This window comes from Homo sapiens, chromosome 8 (assembly GCF_000001405.40).
Source record: "Homo sapiens chromosome 8, GRCh38.p14 Primary Assembly".
Taxonomy (NCBI): Eukaryota; Metazoa; Chordata; class Mammalia; order Primates; family Hominidae; genus Homo; species Homo sapiens.
The window spans coordinates 90,892,142-90,908,218 of record NC_000008.11 but is presented as its reverse complement, the minus strand read 5'-3'; the positions used below and the strand labels follow the sequence as shown (position 1 = coordinate 90,908,218).

Here is a 16,077-nt window from a genome sequence, read left to right as displayed (position 1 = left end):
AGTTGACATAAATGATACTCAAAGGATAACACTCATTTGTAATGTTACTGTTCCTAAACAGTATATGTGTCAGATGGATAGTTCTATTTTAACCACAGTCCTATAATATGTTGAGTTAATAGGCCTAAGTTACTAAATTTGTCAGACACAAATACATTTTTCAAAATATCATATATGATCTCTGTGCTTTCAAAGGCGAATTATCCTTGCTTTTGATCTAAACAAATTTTGTGACAGAAGAATAATTGAACATTAAAATATTATGAGCATTTCTAAACAGCATAGTGTATGGAAAATAGTAGTTTATAAATATGTGAAAACTGACACATTTCTGGATTTAATTTTCCCTTGTGGCTCACTATGAAAGAATACCAAAATATTCTGGTAATTTTTTATTCAGGAAAAAATAACCTTTGGGAATAGATAACTTGCTCAGAATAACAAACAGGTAAGACTTTTTTTTCCAGTGGGATTTAAAAACCAAAATACTGTACTTCATCAAATATAAAGTGCCATTAATTATAAGATGCACCACTATTTTGGTATTTTATACACCACAAGGAAATAACAATATCACCAGTTAACTTTTATGCACCATCAATTGATAGATATATCCCAATTTCATAGCTGTCAGAAAAAGGAAACATATGTATCCTAGAAATAGTGAAATACATTGTATTTTTTATTACATTTCAATATGGCCTGTGACTGAAAGCAAGGGGTGTGGATGATCTGTCTGTACCTGTAACTTTATTGTGTTCTATATCCCACATTTAGAAATCAGGATTGAAAGACAGCACTATTTCTCACACATGTTCAAGAAAATGACTGGGTAACATAAGAGACTGGCTATAGCCTGAAATCATAGCCTGGGCTTGCCTTTCTTAGCATTGAGTTTGTGTCAAGGTCTCCTGGCATTTTAGGAGTATCTAGACAGGCTCAGAAGCTAACTGGAATTTTAATGGTCATCTGGAAAAATAAGCCAAGAGTTCATAGTATTAGCTAGCTAAAACAATGCAGTCTACTAATTCTCTCTCTCTCTCTCTCTCTCTCTCTCTCTCTCTCTCACACACACACACACACACACACACACACAAAATTGGGTGGATTATAAGAAGTAAAGACCCTCAAATTTTCATTATTAAAAATATATATGATATGGGAAATTAGCCAGGCATGGTGGCATGTGCCTGTGGTCCCAGCTACTCAGGAGGCTGAGATGGGATGATCGCTTGAGTCCAGGAGGTCGAGGCTGCAGTGAGCCATGTTTGCACCACTGCACTCCAGCCAGAGCAATAAAGTGAGAAGATATATATATATATATATATATATATATATATATGTGTATATCATATGTAAGGAAAAGGTGGATTATTCAAATCTACCTGCATCCTCCTTTCTGAAAAAGGTTTCTAGATGACTATACAGACTACTTAAAATTAGTTCTGAATGTCTTATTGATAAATTGGAAGGTAATATTTACATTAAACAAAATTTCTGAAAGTTCCAATTTTGGCATTAGGATTAGTTAAGTATCCTAAAATACTCCTTCTATAGAATGCACTATAAAAGGTAAAGTGTGGCAAATATTATTTGAATGTACAACAAAGCTTCTAAGAACATAAGAGAAAACCAAGAGCGTCAACAATGAACAGGAGACAAAGAGACTGACAGTAATCTTGCATTGAAGGCCTTGCTCTACTGTAGGCATTTTCTTTAACTGGAGACTCTTAAGTTCCAGATTTTAACAACTTTTGGAAGAACAGAGGATGAGTCAAGGTAGGGGGTTGAAGCTGGAACACTCAAAGGACCACATTTTTACTAAAAGAGAGCTGGGAAAAAAACTCTATGCGTGAACAAAGGAAGATGACAAATAAGTCTTCTCAGTCTTAATTCTGGGTGCAAAACTCTCTCCTGAAAACCTAAAATCAAGATTCAGTCCACTCAGCAGTCTGAGGTTCGAACTCCTATACCTGCATATTCAGGGAAGCCCAAAACTGAGAGATTAACTCACCTCAGTTCTGTATTGGTAGTATGTTGAGGCAGCTGGCATAAACAAAAACATATTCTCCGTAAAGAAATACATCAAATCCCCAATGATTTAATCAGCCAAGTATAAACTAATAGTGGAAAAATGCCAATCTACCCGCACATATCCATATCACACAAAGAAAAAAAGTATCATAAAAAAGAGTCAGCGATAATATGCTTCAAATGTTCAAAGACATAAAAAGGGTAATGAAAAGCAGGAGAAAGGAGTGAGAGACTATTGCAAGAAACCGGGCAGTTTTCAAAAGAGGCAGTAAGAACTTCCAAAAAATAAACATCCAATGGATATGTGAAATAGATTAGATACAGATGAAGAATAATTAGGAACTAGAATATTAATCTGAAGTAATTATCCAAACTGAAGCAGAGAGATGAACAATATGAAATAGAAGTGACAGAGAAGAGAACGAGAGTATTTAACTTACATATAAGGAGTTCTAAGAGGAGAACAAAGAGAACAGAAAAGAGACAATTGCTGATAATTTTGCAGTATTAAACAAAGGTATGACTCTTCAGAGTCAGAAATCACAGCAGATGCCCAGCAGCACAGATGAAATTAGCACCCAGATGCAATATAGTAAAACCTTAGAAAATAATAGAACAATTAATCTGCAATTTTTTTTCTTTCTCTCCTTTCTTGAAATCCACAGCTAAAACAATATGTATGAATCCTTGTTCCAACTGCCTATGAACCTGTGGCTATTAACTGTGCAGGCTTGCTCTTCTGTCTTCCACCAGACACTTAAACTCTAGGGTACAAGTGCTAAATTATCTGCACGGACCTCTTGAACCACTGCACTAACTTGGCTTAAGATAAGTCACAATTGCCCAACACTGCACATTACAACTCTCTGCAAACAAGAGTTTCAGTAATTCTTCATAGCTATATTGGACTTTCCCTGGCTTCTTTCTGAAGTTCCTGTTCCTGTATTTTGCCAAATCATTTGCTATTATGTATTCTAATTTTTCCTTATTGATTTATAGCATTTGTTTAAATGTTTTTAACACCAGCCCTTGGTAGTTAAGTTTTGCAAATTCTCTTGGTTTGTTTGTTTTTTCAATTTGTAAGTGCTGTCTTTTGATATACAACTTAATAAAGTGAAAGTTATGCCATACTATGTTCTAAAGGTATAGTTTATATTTTGCATCTTGTTTAAGAAATCCTTCTTACTCTAGTCATTAAACTATTTTCTTCTATACTAAAACTTAAATTTTTACACATGTAAGTCTTAAACTGGGATTGATTTTTGTGTATGGATTCAGAATTTAACTCTTTTGTTTTCATATAGATAAGTCATTTTTCTAGCACCATTTATTGAACAGTCCAGTATTTTTTTTGGCACTGATATGTCATGTCAGCTCTTTCACAAGTAAGATTTCTATACATTTTTGCCAGATCCATCATAAATTAGGTTTCTATACATGTTCTAACTATTGTTGGTTTATAGATATACAATTTTTTTTATTATTTGTCTTCTCTGCTAATTTTCTCATTAATTCTTTTGGAAATTTGCTTAGAGGTATATTGGACCTTCCCACTCAATCTTCTAGGTCTCTTAACTTCTTTTCTATTTTCTAAATCTTTGTCTCTCTAAGTCACATTCTCTGTGGTATCTTCAGTTGTGTCCTCTAGTTCACTAATTCTCTTTTCTACTCTATTTAATCTACCGTAAAACTGGTTTCCTGATGTTTTCATTTCAATTATTGTATTTTTTAAATGTTTAGCAAATCTTTTTGTGCTTTCTCAAATTTGTTTTGTCTTTTTTATATCTTGCTCATTTCTCCTATTTTTAATCCCACATATATTTATATAAATATATTAACATACTTATTATTTAGCTGATGATTTCAATATATAAAGTCTTTTAATACTGTCTGAAGTATGTTTTGAGATTTTTTTTTTTGCTTTCAGTACATATTCCTTGCAGGATTAATCTGTGGAAATTTTACCAGATCTAGATTAAGAGAGAATTTGATTTTGCTTTTGTCCAGTATCTGGGGGCACCATCATCTTGGAATAATTTTAAATTAAATTCTTGGCTTGAGGCTTTCCCCTCCACCCAGGAAAGTGATTTGGCCTGCACATTTACATGAGGGCTGACTTGCAGTTATAAATTCTCAGGGCAGACTTCTTTCCCCCTTTGTTTATTTGGTGCCCTGGATCACTAGGGGTAACTTTCCTTTCGAGGAACAGTAAAGGCTTTTGGGTTCCAAGTTTTTGCAGAAGGTTGTTATCAGAATCCTTACCTTGCGGGGTGCTGGTGGCTACGCTTTCTCTTGCCCCAGTGCTGAAAGTCTTCAAAACTGAAATGTAAGGTCAATGAATTAAAGCCACTTCCTACTGCTTATTTCTTTGTGTTCCCTCTTTCACTTACATTTTGGCCTCTGAGAAGTCTTTGCTTTCTTGCCAGGGCTTGGATACATTTCAGAAATGTAAAAATATATTCTATCCATTATTTTTAGTTTGTTTCAGCAACAGAATTGTTGAAAGAATCTCTTCCCCCAAACTGCTATAAACAGAAGTTGCTAAGTATTTTCTATGGATTCATTTATTTGGACCTCCCAAACTTGTCATAAGAGATAAAGTAATCTGCCTAAAGTCAGATAGCTAACAGGTAAGTTTTGACTTTTTTGTTCATGAGTAAGTAATCATTGATCCATAGAAAAAATTAACAAATAAAAAGCAACTGTTTTTAGTAACTACCTTAAAACTCTACTGACTTTTATTATAACAAACCTACAATTACAGACTAAAGTGGTTGAAAAGATATGTGACATGTTTTTTTCTGCAGATAAAGCTGTATGAAAATTTTAAATTAAAAATATAAATAACTTTCACTTTTGAAGTAGCAATGTTATAAATTAGAAAATACAGATTGGCAACATAAAATATTTTTAAAAAATTGTTCTAAAATGGGATTGCAGTGGTCGTTGTATAACTCTATAAATTTAATAAAAATATTTAATTGTATGCTTACACTTGGTTAATTTTATGGTATATAAATTATAACTCAATAAAGCTATTGAAATATCTATAATATATTGTTTTTTCAAAACCAACTACATGTACATTTTAAATCAGTTATTTGCACATAAAAATACATACATCTTTCCATGTCAATTGTATTCATATATGATATAGTTTTTAATAGCCAAATAGTATATTTTATATTTATAATTTATTCATCAATCTCATATTGTTGAATATAAACTAAAGATAGTTGTCTAATTTTTCTTAGTATAAACATTTATATGGTGAATATTCCTTGTATACATACTAAATTATTTCCGAGTTAATGTTCTAGAAATGAAATTACTAGGTAGAATAATACCTAAATTGAAAATGTGAGACATATTTTCTCACATTTGCCCTCCTACAGGTAGAAGGTCACTAAGTTTGCCCTCCTACAGGTAGTACTAATTTAAAGTCCCATTATCATGTTTAAGAGTCTTCATTTTCCTGTGTTTTTGAACAATTGGCATTATTATTTTAAACATTTTTAATTGATAGAAGTATGTTTTATTGTCAATTTAATTTATATTTATTTAACTATTGATAAACTTGAACATTTATAGAATATAAACTGTAAAATGTGTGTACAGGTACATTATATATATAATTTATGTGTGTGTTATACACACATGAAGAGAGACAGAGAGCCCCTTTGCATTAGTAAGTACAACGTAATTCAATTGACTCCTTTTCTACGTATGTAACTTAATAGTAATAATTGTTTGTTCGTTTGTTTTTTTAGAGTCTCACTCTGTCTCCCAGGCTGGAGTGCAGTGGCAGTGGATCTTGGCTCACTGCAACTTCTGCCTCCTGGGTTCAAGCGATTCTCCTACCTCAGCCACCCGAATAGTTGGGACTACAGGCATGTGCCATTGTGCTTGGCTAATTTTTGTATTTTTACTAGAGGCAGGGTTTCACCCTGTTGTCCAGGCTGGTCTCAAACTCCTGACCTCAAGTGATCCACCCTCCTCGGCCTCCCAAAGTGCTGGGATTACAGGTGTGAACCACCACACCCAGCCAGTAGTGATGTTTCATAACAGAACAATCTGAGAAGTTTCAAAAAATAGGCTTTTCTTATTTTTAAGAGAAAGAATAAAATATGTGGATTAGTACCTCTATTATTTATAGAATATTCCTTTGTAAATATAACTGTGCAAAGTACATTAAAGAAGGAAATAAAACATCCTTTTGCAGTATAGATTAAAATGCTTCAACAAATACTTATGTAACATTAACACACACACACACACACACACAAATACAGAGAGTGCAAACGAGGTTTTAGCCAAACACTAAATATAGATAGGGTTTGCTAATGAAGGAACATTCTCATTCCTCCATTAAATGTGTGTAACTACAAGGCTCAAGTTAGTGTGAGAGAGCGATACTATTCAATTAATGACAAGAACAGAGTATACATAGTCTGTTGAAGCGAAAAACAAAATTCAGGGTCAAATGGTCGTACTATACAAATTTCACAGGCAATCAGCAAACCCACTAAAGACATAGAGCTAGAAGGAACCACTGAATACAAATTGCTCATTTTCAAAAGGAAGGCCAGATAAATTAAGGAGACTTGCTGAAGACCACATAGCTCTCCTCGGCTAGACTAGAATACTGGTGTCATTTTCCTGCACCATTTTATCAAAAGATGTTTAAAGCACAAAACACGAAAAGCTTTTCGATTGTTCCCAGGTCTGTGTTAAACATACCTGGAGAGAAACAGTGGGTTCTAGTCTCATGAGGCTACAAGGGTCAAAGGCTCTTGATTATAAAACTGTGCCCTTGAGGGCACCGCTGGAAGGAAAGCTTTTCAAAGCTGAAAACCAGCAATTAAAAAAGGAAAGGAAACATCATCTATTTAAGCTGAGAGTAGCAAAAAGGCAGCATAATTTATAAACACCATTTTTTTTTTTTTTTTAACAGAGAGACTTAAATCATATCAGCCTCAGAAGGTTTTTCTCAAAAAGGTTTAACTGCCTTCAGGAAAAGATTTATCAAAGCCTATGCTGGAATGAATATCTCCAGGCTGCCAGTTGTTTAATTAATAATTTTATATTCATCTTTTATATTTGAGATAGGTTTTCTGTGTTTTATATTAGAGCACTAAAAAATATTAATGTTGAAGGGTAAATTTTTAGATTCTAATTTATAACTTCACTCTGCCTCAGTCTATTTTTTACCACTGAAATAAAAATGTTCAAGTATTTAGACTGATTAAAGTACCTTTATCTTACTGAAAAATCATCAAGAAACTGCTGGAGCAAAACTAATTCAGTTATTATACAAACAACAAAAAGAAATTTCAAGTAGGCACTTTGAGCCCCAGGCTTGGGGTCATATAAAAAAATGACAAAGAGTATAAGAGCGTGATGAAACCCTGACAGGGATCTTGATTATTTCTTACAAAAGCATTCATTTTAATCAGGGGCTTAGATTTTGCTCCTTTGCCATGGCAACAGATAAAGAATCCTGTACCTGGAAGGTTATAGTGATAGTCTTAATTATGCTCCCAAGAGGCATTGTGTTAACAGTTTAGTGATTGGAAGGGAAAGAACTAATTCTACCCAATTCTGAATAATACTTTTCCTACCCTTATAGAGGATAAGATTCTACACTGGGTTATGGGCTTTGCCATTGACTCATACTATGATTTTAGGCAAGTCTACTAACCCCTTTGTGTTTGTTTTCTCAAATATATGAAATGAGAACATGGGGCTCAGTTTCCATCCTGGAACTGGCTAAGTCTGTGTTCACTGGTTCATCTAGAGTTGAAGAAGAAAAGAACCATTTTTCCTCTTTGTTCCATTGGTGAAGCAATTCTGTCATGCCTACTCTACCCTTCTGTTGTTACTTTCTGGCCTCAAAAGTGATCAATGTGGGAAGATTCAGAGTACACAGAATTATGCTTGTTCTGTTGTGTGTAGCTTGACATTTCACATGACCCTTGAATCATCCCATATTGGTATATAAAGACTAAGGTCAGTTGCTCTACTCCCGAACAACTGCCTATTTTACTAATGAAATGAAAATAATTCTAATAAGGAAAATGCAGCAACACTAAGTTTACTCATAGAGAAAGGCAGGGGAAAGGTTCATGCCTTTACAGCACTGTATTAAACACTAAGGTACTCTTCAAGGCTCCCCATTGAGTGCTCATTGTTGTTTTAGTAATGCTTATTATTCTCACTAGTGTATCAGACTGTAGGGAGGAAGGAATGTTTCCTTTCTTCCTACATACTGTGCAGTTAAGGTCCCAGAATATTCTGAAAATAATATTTTCAGAACTATTCTGTTTCAATATTTTCAATAGTTTCAAACTATTATGTTTAGCTTCATGCTGGTATAAGAAACAAGCACCCACCTGAATTATGAGTTTCTTATGACAAAGAAGGAAGCATTGTAAACCTTTCTGAATCAAAGGTATAATAAACACATACAAAAATCAAATGTACTGTACAATATCACACACATGAGGGACAAGATTTGAGCATCAACATATTTTAAACTATGGCAAAGCTAAACCTAGGGAATTGGTTTTTGGTTCATCACTATTTCTTTCTGCACATCTCTCTGTTCCAGAGTTTCTAAACTTGCTCCAGCTCAAATAAATTTTGGGTCCCATCTCTTTACTTTTAGTGAGCTTTTAACTACCCTCTGCTAAGTTATTCAGTAACTAGGACTTTAGATCTTTCTATTCCCAGGGATATTTACTTTTAAAAACTTGTAAAGACTAGACTCTTAAAGACTGAAAAACCTTTGAGAGTAAGAGAAGTGGATCTTTAAAGCTGAATTTTCACAGATTCTTGAATTTTTGCCCATGTTCCTCAAATCACATCCTGGTATACACTATGGCAGTCACCAAGGGACCACAGAGAGAAACTGTTTTAAGTATGCTTAACTACCCATCTCCAGCTGCCACACCTTGGGGATCAGCAGTGTTCATGCTGAAGCCACATCCTCTCCAGTATTCCTTGCCAAGGACTAAGGATGGTGTAAGTCAGGGGGGACTCCTCTTATGAGCAGTCTTTGCCCTCGGGCGTCCCACTGGCATAGCCAAAACTTTGTCAGAGGCTCTCTGCCAGCCCAACTTCCATTTCCTCCTCTTTTCACAGGTGCCAGACCTGCAGGGCAGCCTGAAGGATCTTCCCACTGCTCTTGTTCCCTCTCCCCTTTACCTTCCAAGGGCATTTCTCCCAACATATCTCTTGCACTTGGCTTCTGTTTCTAGAGGATTTGAGCAGACACAGTATTCCATAAATACTTGTGCCACATGAACGAATCTCAGTTGGGATGAGACAAATGAACTATTAGGAAGGTGAAGAGAGAGCTGAGGAAAGTAGATTGTGTACCTACCATGTACCAGGTGCCTGACTGTGAGAGTGACTCAGTGCAGTTGGGCTAAAAGACTAATTGAGATAATGTATGCACTGTGGTCAACATGTATTATGCTCAATAAATAGTAGCTGTCTCTTTCTCAATAAACACTGAATTAAGTGTGAAAAGGACAGATGGGTATGAGATACTGGGCATTATAGAAGATGCAATGAGCCAGGCAAGAGAAGAAGACAGGGGTATTGGAATAGGAAGCACAGTCCAAGCAGCAACTAGGCTTCAAACTCACTTGGAGCTGCTACTTCTGTTGAAGTTTTAGGCCTTCTGGAGACTGTCAGTTCTAGGTGGCCCCAAATATCAAATGTGTTAATTTTTTAGGGTCCTGTGGTTTTACAGATTCCCAAATAGTTAATATGATGTCTAATCTCAGTGAAATGGGACAATATTGATTTAAATACAAAAGTTGTGCTACTCTAAGTCTAAAGACAAGGCTATATTTTAAATTTGGATTTGGGGCACTGAGTGGTGGTAGTGATGGAAGAGGGGAGGTGAGACTTGAGAGAGAGCATTGGGGTGAGCCTTGACTTCCTATCTAAACTTATTCTCATGGGAGCAGCCAGGCTTGGTAGTTCTTTTTTCCACTATCACTCAAAATGCAGCCTGATAGTGAGGTGTGTAATCATGGGCTTTTCTCAACTGTAATTTGATTACAGAGATGTTCTATAGGCAAGGAACAAATTTGAGGTCATATTACCTCCAAAGAAGATACAGGCTATAAGTAGGAAAGCTACTACAGAAAATGACAGAGGATAAAAAGCTTATAAAGAGATGATAATCTTATTCTGTAGCAATAGTAAAACATAAAAAGGAATTATTCTTTAAATCAAATGATTACTCTCACAGCCATTTAAATCATCTGCCAACAGTGACTTACAGGAGGTAAGTCCTGATTTCTTTTAGTAAATTAAGCCTACAAATGAAGGCATTCTTCATTTATTTCACGCCAATACACTTGCCACAAGCATTATCAGTTGAGTCTCCTAAAGTGTCATTTTTGAAACGTTAATAAGTTCATTTACATTTTCCCCAGACCACTGGGGGTCAATTTTCACTTGTCTATGCATATTATTTGACTGCTCTTTGAAATGCAATAAACTTTTCAAAGAATTGATAGTTTTTTGTTTTACTTTGTTTTTTAAACATAAGATAGTATTACATTTCAGCATTGCTGAAGCATGCAATCTGATAGTCTGAAAAAATAATTAGAACATCCATTTCCATAACATATATAATGACATAGCCATCTTAATTTTTTATTGAAACCATTGAGCCAGATACATTTCAAAGTTCAGAATTTTTCAGGGTCTAGAGAGGTAACACCTAGCATATGTCATGTAATTATATAATACCCACAGCAGGGTCTAGAGCAGTACCCTGTAATGACCATATTGGTAGTTTTGCAGCAAAATTCTTAATATTAAAATAGATTTTGCTACCAAATGGACTTTGGTGCTAAGTTTACCAAACAACAACAACAAAACCAAAACATTCCATTTTCAGAAGCTTTTGGATTTTGGAATCGCAGATAAGTGGTGGACCTATAGTAAATCTGTGCCCCTCAAAGGATCCTCTTAAGGATTGTGGGAACCGAAGAGGAAGAGTTGCCAATAATTTGGCTTGTAATTGAAGAAGAAAATTTTATTGCTGCTTTCTACCTGCTAAATTCTTTTTTTTAATTATTTTTTTTAAATTTTCTTTTTCTCAGCAAAGCAAGGTACTTCTATATAGAAGGAACAATGGAGTGCACACTTGGAGAAGGGAGGGCAAGGGGTTCTTATCCCTGACGCACGTCACCCCTGCTGCTGTGTCGTTCCCCTATTGGCTAGGGTTAGACCTCACAGGCTAAACTAATTCTAATTGGCTAATTTAAAGAGAATGAAGTGGTGAGTGCTTTGGCGGGAGTCAGGGCAGAGCAGGTAGCAGGTAATCAGAATGAGTTAGGGTGGAGCAGGTGATCCGAATGAGTTAGAGTGGAGTAGGTAATCGGAATGAGTCAGGGTGGAGTAGGTAATCAGGATGAGTCAGGGTGGAGTAGATAATCGAAAAAGATTGCTTTACGAGGAAGTTAAGTTTAAAAGTAGAAGGCAGAGAATTGAACATACTGACGTATTAGTTTGTTTGTTTTTTTTGTTTTTGTTTTTGTTTTTGTTTTTTTTTGAGACGGAGTCTCGCTCTGTCGCCCAGGCTGGAGTGCAGTGGCACGATCTCGGTTCACTGCAAGCTCCGCCTCCCGGGTTCCCGCCATTCTTCTGCCTCAGCCTCCTGAGTAGCTGGGACTACAGGCACCCGCCACCACGCCCGGCTAATTTTTTTGTATTTTTAGTAGAGACGGGGTTTCACCATGTTAGCCAGGATGGTCTCGATCTCCTGACCTTGTGATCCGCCTGCCTCGGCCTCCCAAAGTGCTGGGATTACAGGCGTGAACCACCTCGCCCGGCCGACATATTAATTCTTTGAAAAGAAATTTAGAACTCATACCTAACAACTCTTCCTCTTGTATTTCCTTACAGCTTTCTTTTCAAACTTTTTAAACATGTCTTAGCTTAGTTGTTTTGCTTGATTTTCCAAAAGAAGAAGCTTCTCTGGATAAGGTGGAGGATAGCTAAGGGAGGTTTTAGTAAGTGCCGTTTTTATGAACCTCTGCATCGACTTACGGATGCATGGTATGACACAGCACCCGACAAGAATAAGTATACCTATTACGGGTGTGAGGTAAATTCTTAAGACTCATCTGCAGAATGTCTCTTAGGCTGCATAAAATACAGACTTTGCACAAAACTTGGTCTAAAATGAGTAACTTGAAAAAATTATTCTCCTACTGACATCAGCTCGTTGAGCTTTAATTGTGCCTCTGATTTACATGAGAAAACATAAAAGGGAGTAGAAAGTTACAATTAAAGGAAGGAAAACAGTCCCTTTCAGCTACTGCCACAGATCTATTGTACAGAATACTTCTCTATGGAATACTTCCTCTATGGCCACAGGCCAGTTCCACTCAGCACTCCTCTCTTTGAAGAGGCCACAAATCTGACTAATTTTCATTTAACTTCATGGGGCAAGGAAGGGGGCTTCACAGAATTTCCTAATCTGTTTCTCTTTATCAAATACATAATCACTTTTTCTATCTGCTGAAAAATAAACCTGCAACAAAATGATCAAGACAGTAGAAAATGCTGTTATTATATTATTTGATTGGAGAGCAAAGGCTAATTTTTGTTTCCTATTATATTCCTTTTGATTACTAGCACATGGCAACACTCTGAACACAGTAGGTGCTTTTTGTGTCTATTAAACTGGATTTGAGGTGGCACCTGCTCTGTACATACATGCCTTTGGTTTGTTTCTTTTTTGCTTTTCAAAAGATTCCTATGCTTCCTCAGTGTTGAGACTACTTTTTCTGTTTTCTTTCTCTGGGATTCAGAGACACTGAGTTCTGCTCCTGGAGTTATTTATAGTTTTGGTAGCTAGGTCTCACATACCTCCTTTGTGCTTCCAAGAGTGTTGTAGGAGTATATGTTCTGTCACTGCAGATGATCTGTTTTCATCATATTAACAAGGAGATGGCTGACTAGGTGCTGTGCTTCCCTTTTAGTTGTTCCTTTATATTTTTATGAATTAATTTCTGTTTACTTTTGATAATTTTCTTAACAGACATTTGTGCCTCTATGCAATCATATGTGTCTGTTCCCATAAGCAGCAGCTTAGTCAATCACTCAGGGAAATACATGCATCTCTATGCATTCACCAGACTGAAGTTCTCCCAGAAACAAGCCCCTGTGCTTCATTAAACTATTGATTTGGTTGTCATAGATCAGCTGAAATGTATATCCTTAAAATGAAGGGAAGTCTCATGAAGCACTTACACTTATTATCTGTTTATCTAAAAAAATCAGCATGTAAAATTCTGACTTAAGGTTAAAATTTTCTCTGAAGGGTCAACATTCCAAATTTTTACTTAGATTATTAGTTAGCTGCTCTGTTGAATTCTCCCCTCTACCTTATAGAAATAAAATATTTTGGTTGTTGTTGTAAGAAAGAATCCATCATATCCATATAAAGCACCAAGCCACATGTTTAGCAATTGTTTCCAATAACAAAGTATGAAACTTGAGAATGACCTTGGAAGTAGAAAGATAACTAGTCCCATGACTATTATGCCTATATTGTGCCTATTATGGGCCACTTGCAGTACTAGACCCCCTACATGCATTATATCATTTTATCCTCCCAACATCTGACAATGAAAGAAATGAAGGCAAAAAGATTAACTTGGGCATATGCTAGCAAGTAGCAGAGCTAGGAATCATATCAAGTTTTTCCTAAGTATGAAATTGTTATTTCTGGAGACATCTCTCCATTTATCCCACATATTCTGATTTGTATAGTTTGGGGAGTGAGAGGTAGTTTTCCATATTTTAATGTATATAAATGACCTATGCAGAACTCAAAGGCAGAATTAACAAGGAAGTGAAAATAGTTTTATTCTTCTAATATCATGTATTTCCTTATATATTAAGGAAGAATTGGTCTCTGTTTAGCATAACCATTATTAAAAATATTTATGTGAGAAAAAATGTGTCTGGAACTGTTAGAAATATACAATTAAATATGTTATTTGTCCACTTTATATGATATTTATGCTATATGTGTCTATTTCTCCTCCTTGCTTTTTAGGTTATCAGCATGAAAATCAGCCTCTGTTTCTAAGAAATTCTAAAAATATTACTCACCTATGCCTATCATGTCCTGCCACATTATAATCTTGGTTACAGCTCTCAAAATGTCAGAGCAGATCATGAACTAAAGATGTGTCATAGGTAAAATCATTTAAAAGGCAAATTCAACATAATGAACTGAAGAAAAAAATCCAACCATGAGAATAGTTGATGTTGACTATAATTAAAAAAAAAATAGCATTCTTTACAAAATGCAAAACTGTATGAGCACTAGGATTAAAACTGCTAATCCCTTTCTTTTCCCCAGACCTCCCCAGCTAGCCATAAATTCCATCTGGCCCATTGCAGGGGGCCCTGATTGCCTCCTGCACTGCTGGAATTCAGGCAGGATGGAGATAGACAGTTTTCACCCCATGAGTTGGTGAGTTCAGAAAGAGTATTGTGTTGCTCTGGACAAGCAATCCTTCCAAATTTTAGAAACAGTCTGGGGATGTGTATTCAAGAAATCTGCTCCCTTTTCACGTTCTCCCTAGTCCCTTGGAAGGGACACCCATCTGGGCTGTCCATCTGTCCAGAATTGGATTGTGGTCGCCAAGTCGCTCTTCCCTTCCGGGTGATTGATTCATGATCATCAGTGATCTTCATCACATCCGCAGCTCCCCTGGGAGCCGATATATATTTTTAAAAATTAACTGAGTGCCTTAACTAGTAGCTGTCGGTGATACAGTGAGAGAGAAGACACTTCAAGACAGTTGGGATGACAGACAAGTAAAAAGTAAAAGGAGCTACCATGGGGATGTGCAAGAGGCGGTTTGAAAACACCTAATCTCCCCTCTACCCCCACCGACACCCCACTTGGAGGATCAAGAAAGGATTCCTAGGGGAAGTGACAGTTAAGCTAAGTCCCGTAGTATCACCAGGAATATTAGAGGACCAGCCAGATGAAGAGCAAGTAGGTAACTGGAGGAGCCCTGAGGAAGGACCTAGGGAGGGCAGAATGATGTCATCCACAAGCAAGGATCACTATATGGCAAGATCCAGTTGGGAGACAGAGATGGTGGGGAACTCAGAGAAGTGCAAATGGCTGAGCATAGCTGGAGAGAAAATCATCTGGTAAGGACTGGCACGAGGTGGAACTAGAGAGATGGGGAGGGTACCAGATGAGCAGGGAAGGCTCAGATTTGGGTGGGCCTGTGTGCTCTGGGCAAAGAGTCTAGACTTTGTCCTGAGGTCAATGAGGAGCCAATGTAAGGTTTTAAGGAGGTGAGGGACAGTCTTATTTTTTGGAAAGATGTCTCATCCAGCAGGATGGAGCATGGTCTGTAGACAACACTGGATGAAAAATAATGACTTCGGTGCTGTGACAAGGAATCCCTGTGCGAGTCAAGGAGGCTCTGCCTCATGTGGCCCAGACAGTGGGTTGCGAGGGAAGAAGATGGACGTGACCAACATTAAGGACAAAATCATTAGGAGTAGGTGACTGACTTGATCGTAGAGAATAAAGCAAAGAGCACAAGGCAACAAAGATCTAAAGGGGGTACAAATATGACAATCACCTTTTGCGGGGGTTAATAATCACATAGGTCATTTCTTTTTCATTTAAAATATTTATTTACTGTTAAAACATCATTTTAAATATTGTATGTTACAAAGAAAATTTGATAGATGTGATACTTAGCCAATGTTTTTTATGAAAATGGAAATTATGATGCTATCAATGTTTATTATAGTTAGATAGCTATTATAGCTATTAATGCTCATATTTGACTGAATGATGAAGAAAATCAAGGGACATTTCTCTCCCACAATAGAGAAAAAACCTATGTATTAACCCCTCACCCACCTCAATTTTATTTCATTGAAATGCTGATATTCAAAGTAATATAGAAAAACTACATGACCATGTAAGGAAGAGAGTGATAAGCTATGTCTTCTGATGCTCCT

General features: G+C 36.3%; 1 protein-coding gene and 1 long non-coding RNA gene across 11 annotated transcripts in view; one reads left to right on the top strand and one right to left on the bottom strand.

Moving 5' to 3' along the window:
- Positions 1-16,077, bottom strand: part of NECAB1 (N-terminal EF-hand calcium binding protein 1) — a 167,619-nt gene that overhangs the window by 51,175 nt on the left and 100,367 nt on the right. The window lies entirely within an intron of this gene.
- Positions 1-16,077, top strand: part of LOC105375634 (uncharacterized) — a 109,088-nt gene that overhangs the window by 45,768 nt on the left and 47,243 nt on the right. Inside the window, exon 1 of one of the 9 annotated variants that reach the window (XR_928393.3) lies at positions 1,376-4,664. The exons of 6 other annotated variants lie outside the window; for them this stretch is intronic. This is a non-coding gene — a long non-coding RNA (uncharacterized LOC105375634). Of the gene's footprint in view, positions 1-1,375; positions 4,665-6,217; positions 15,247-16,077 lie in introns of those variants that run through there. 2 more of the 9 variants (XR_928397.3, XR_928398.3) reach the window with 2 other exon arrangements.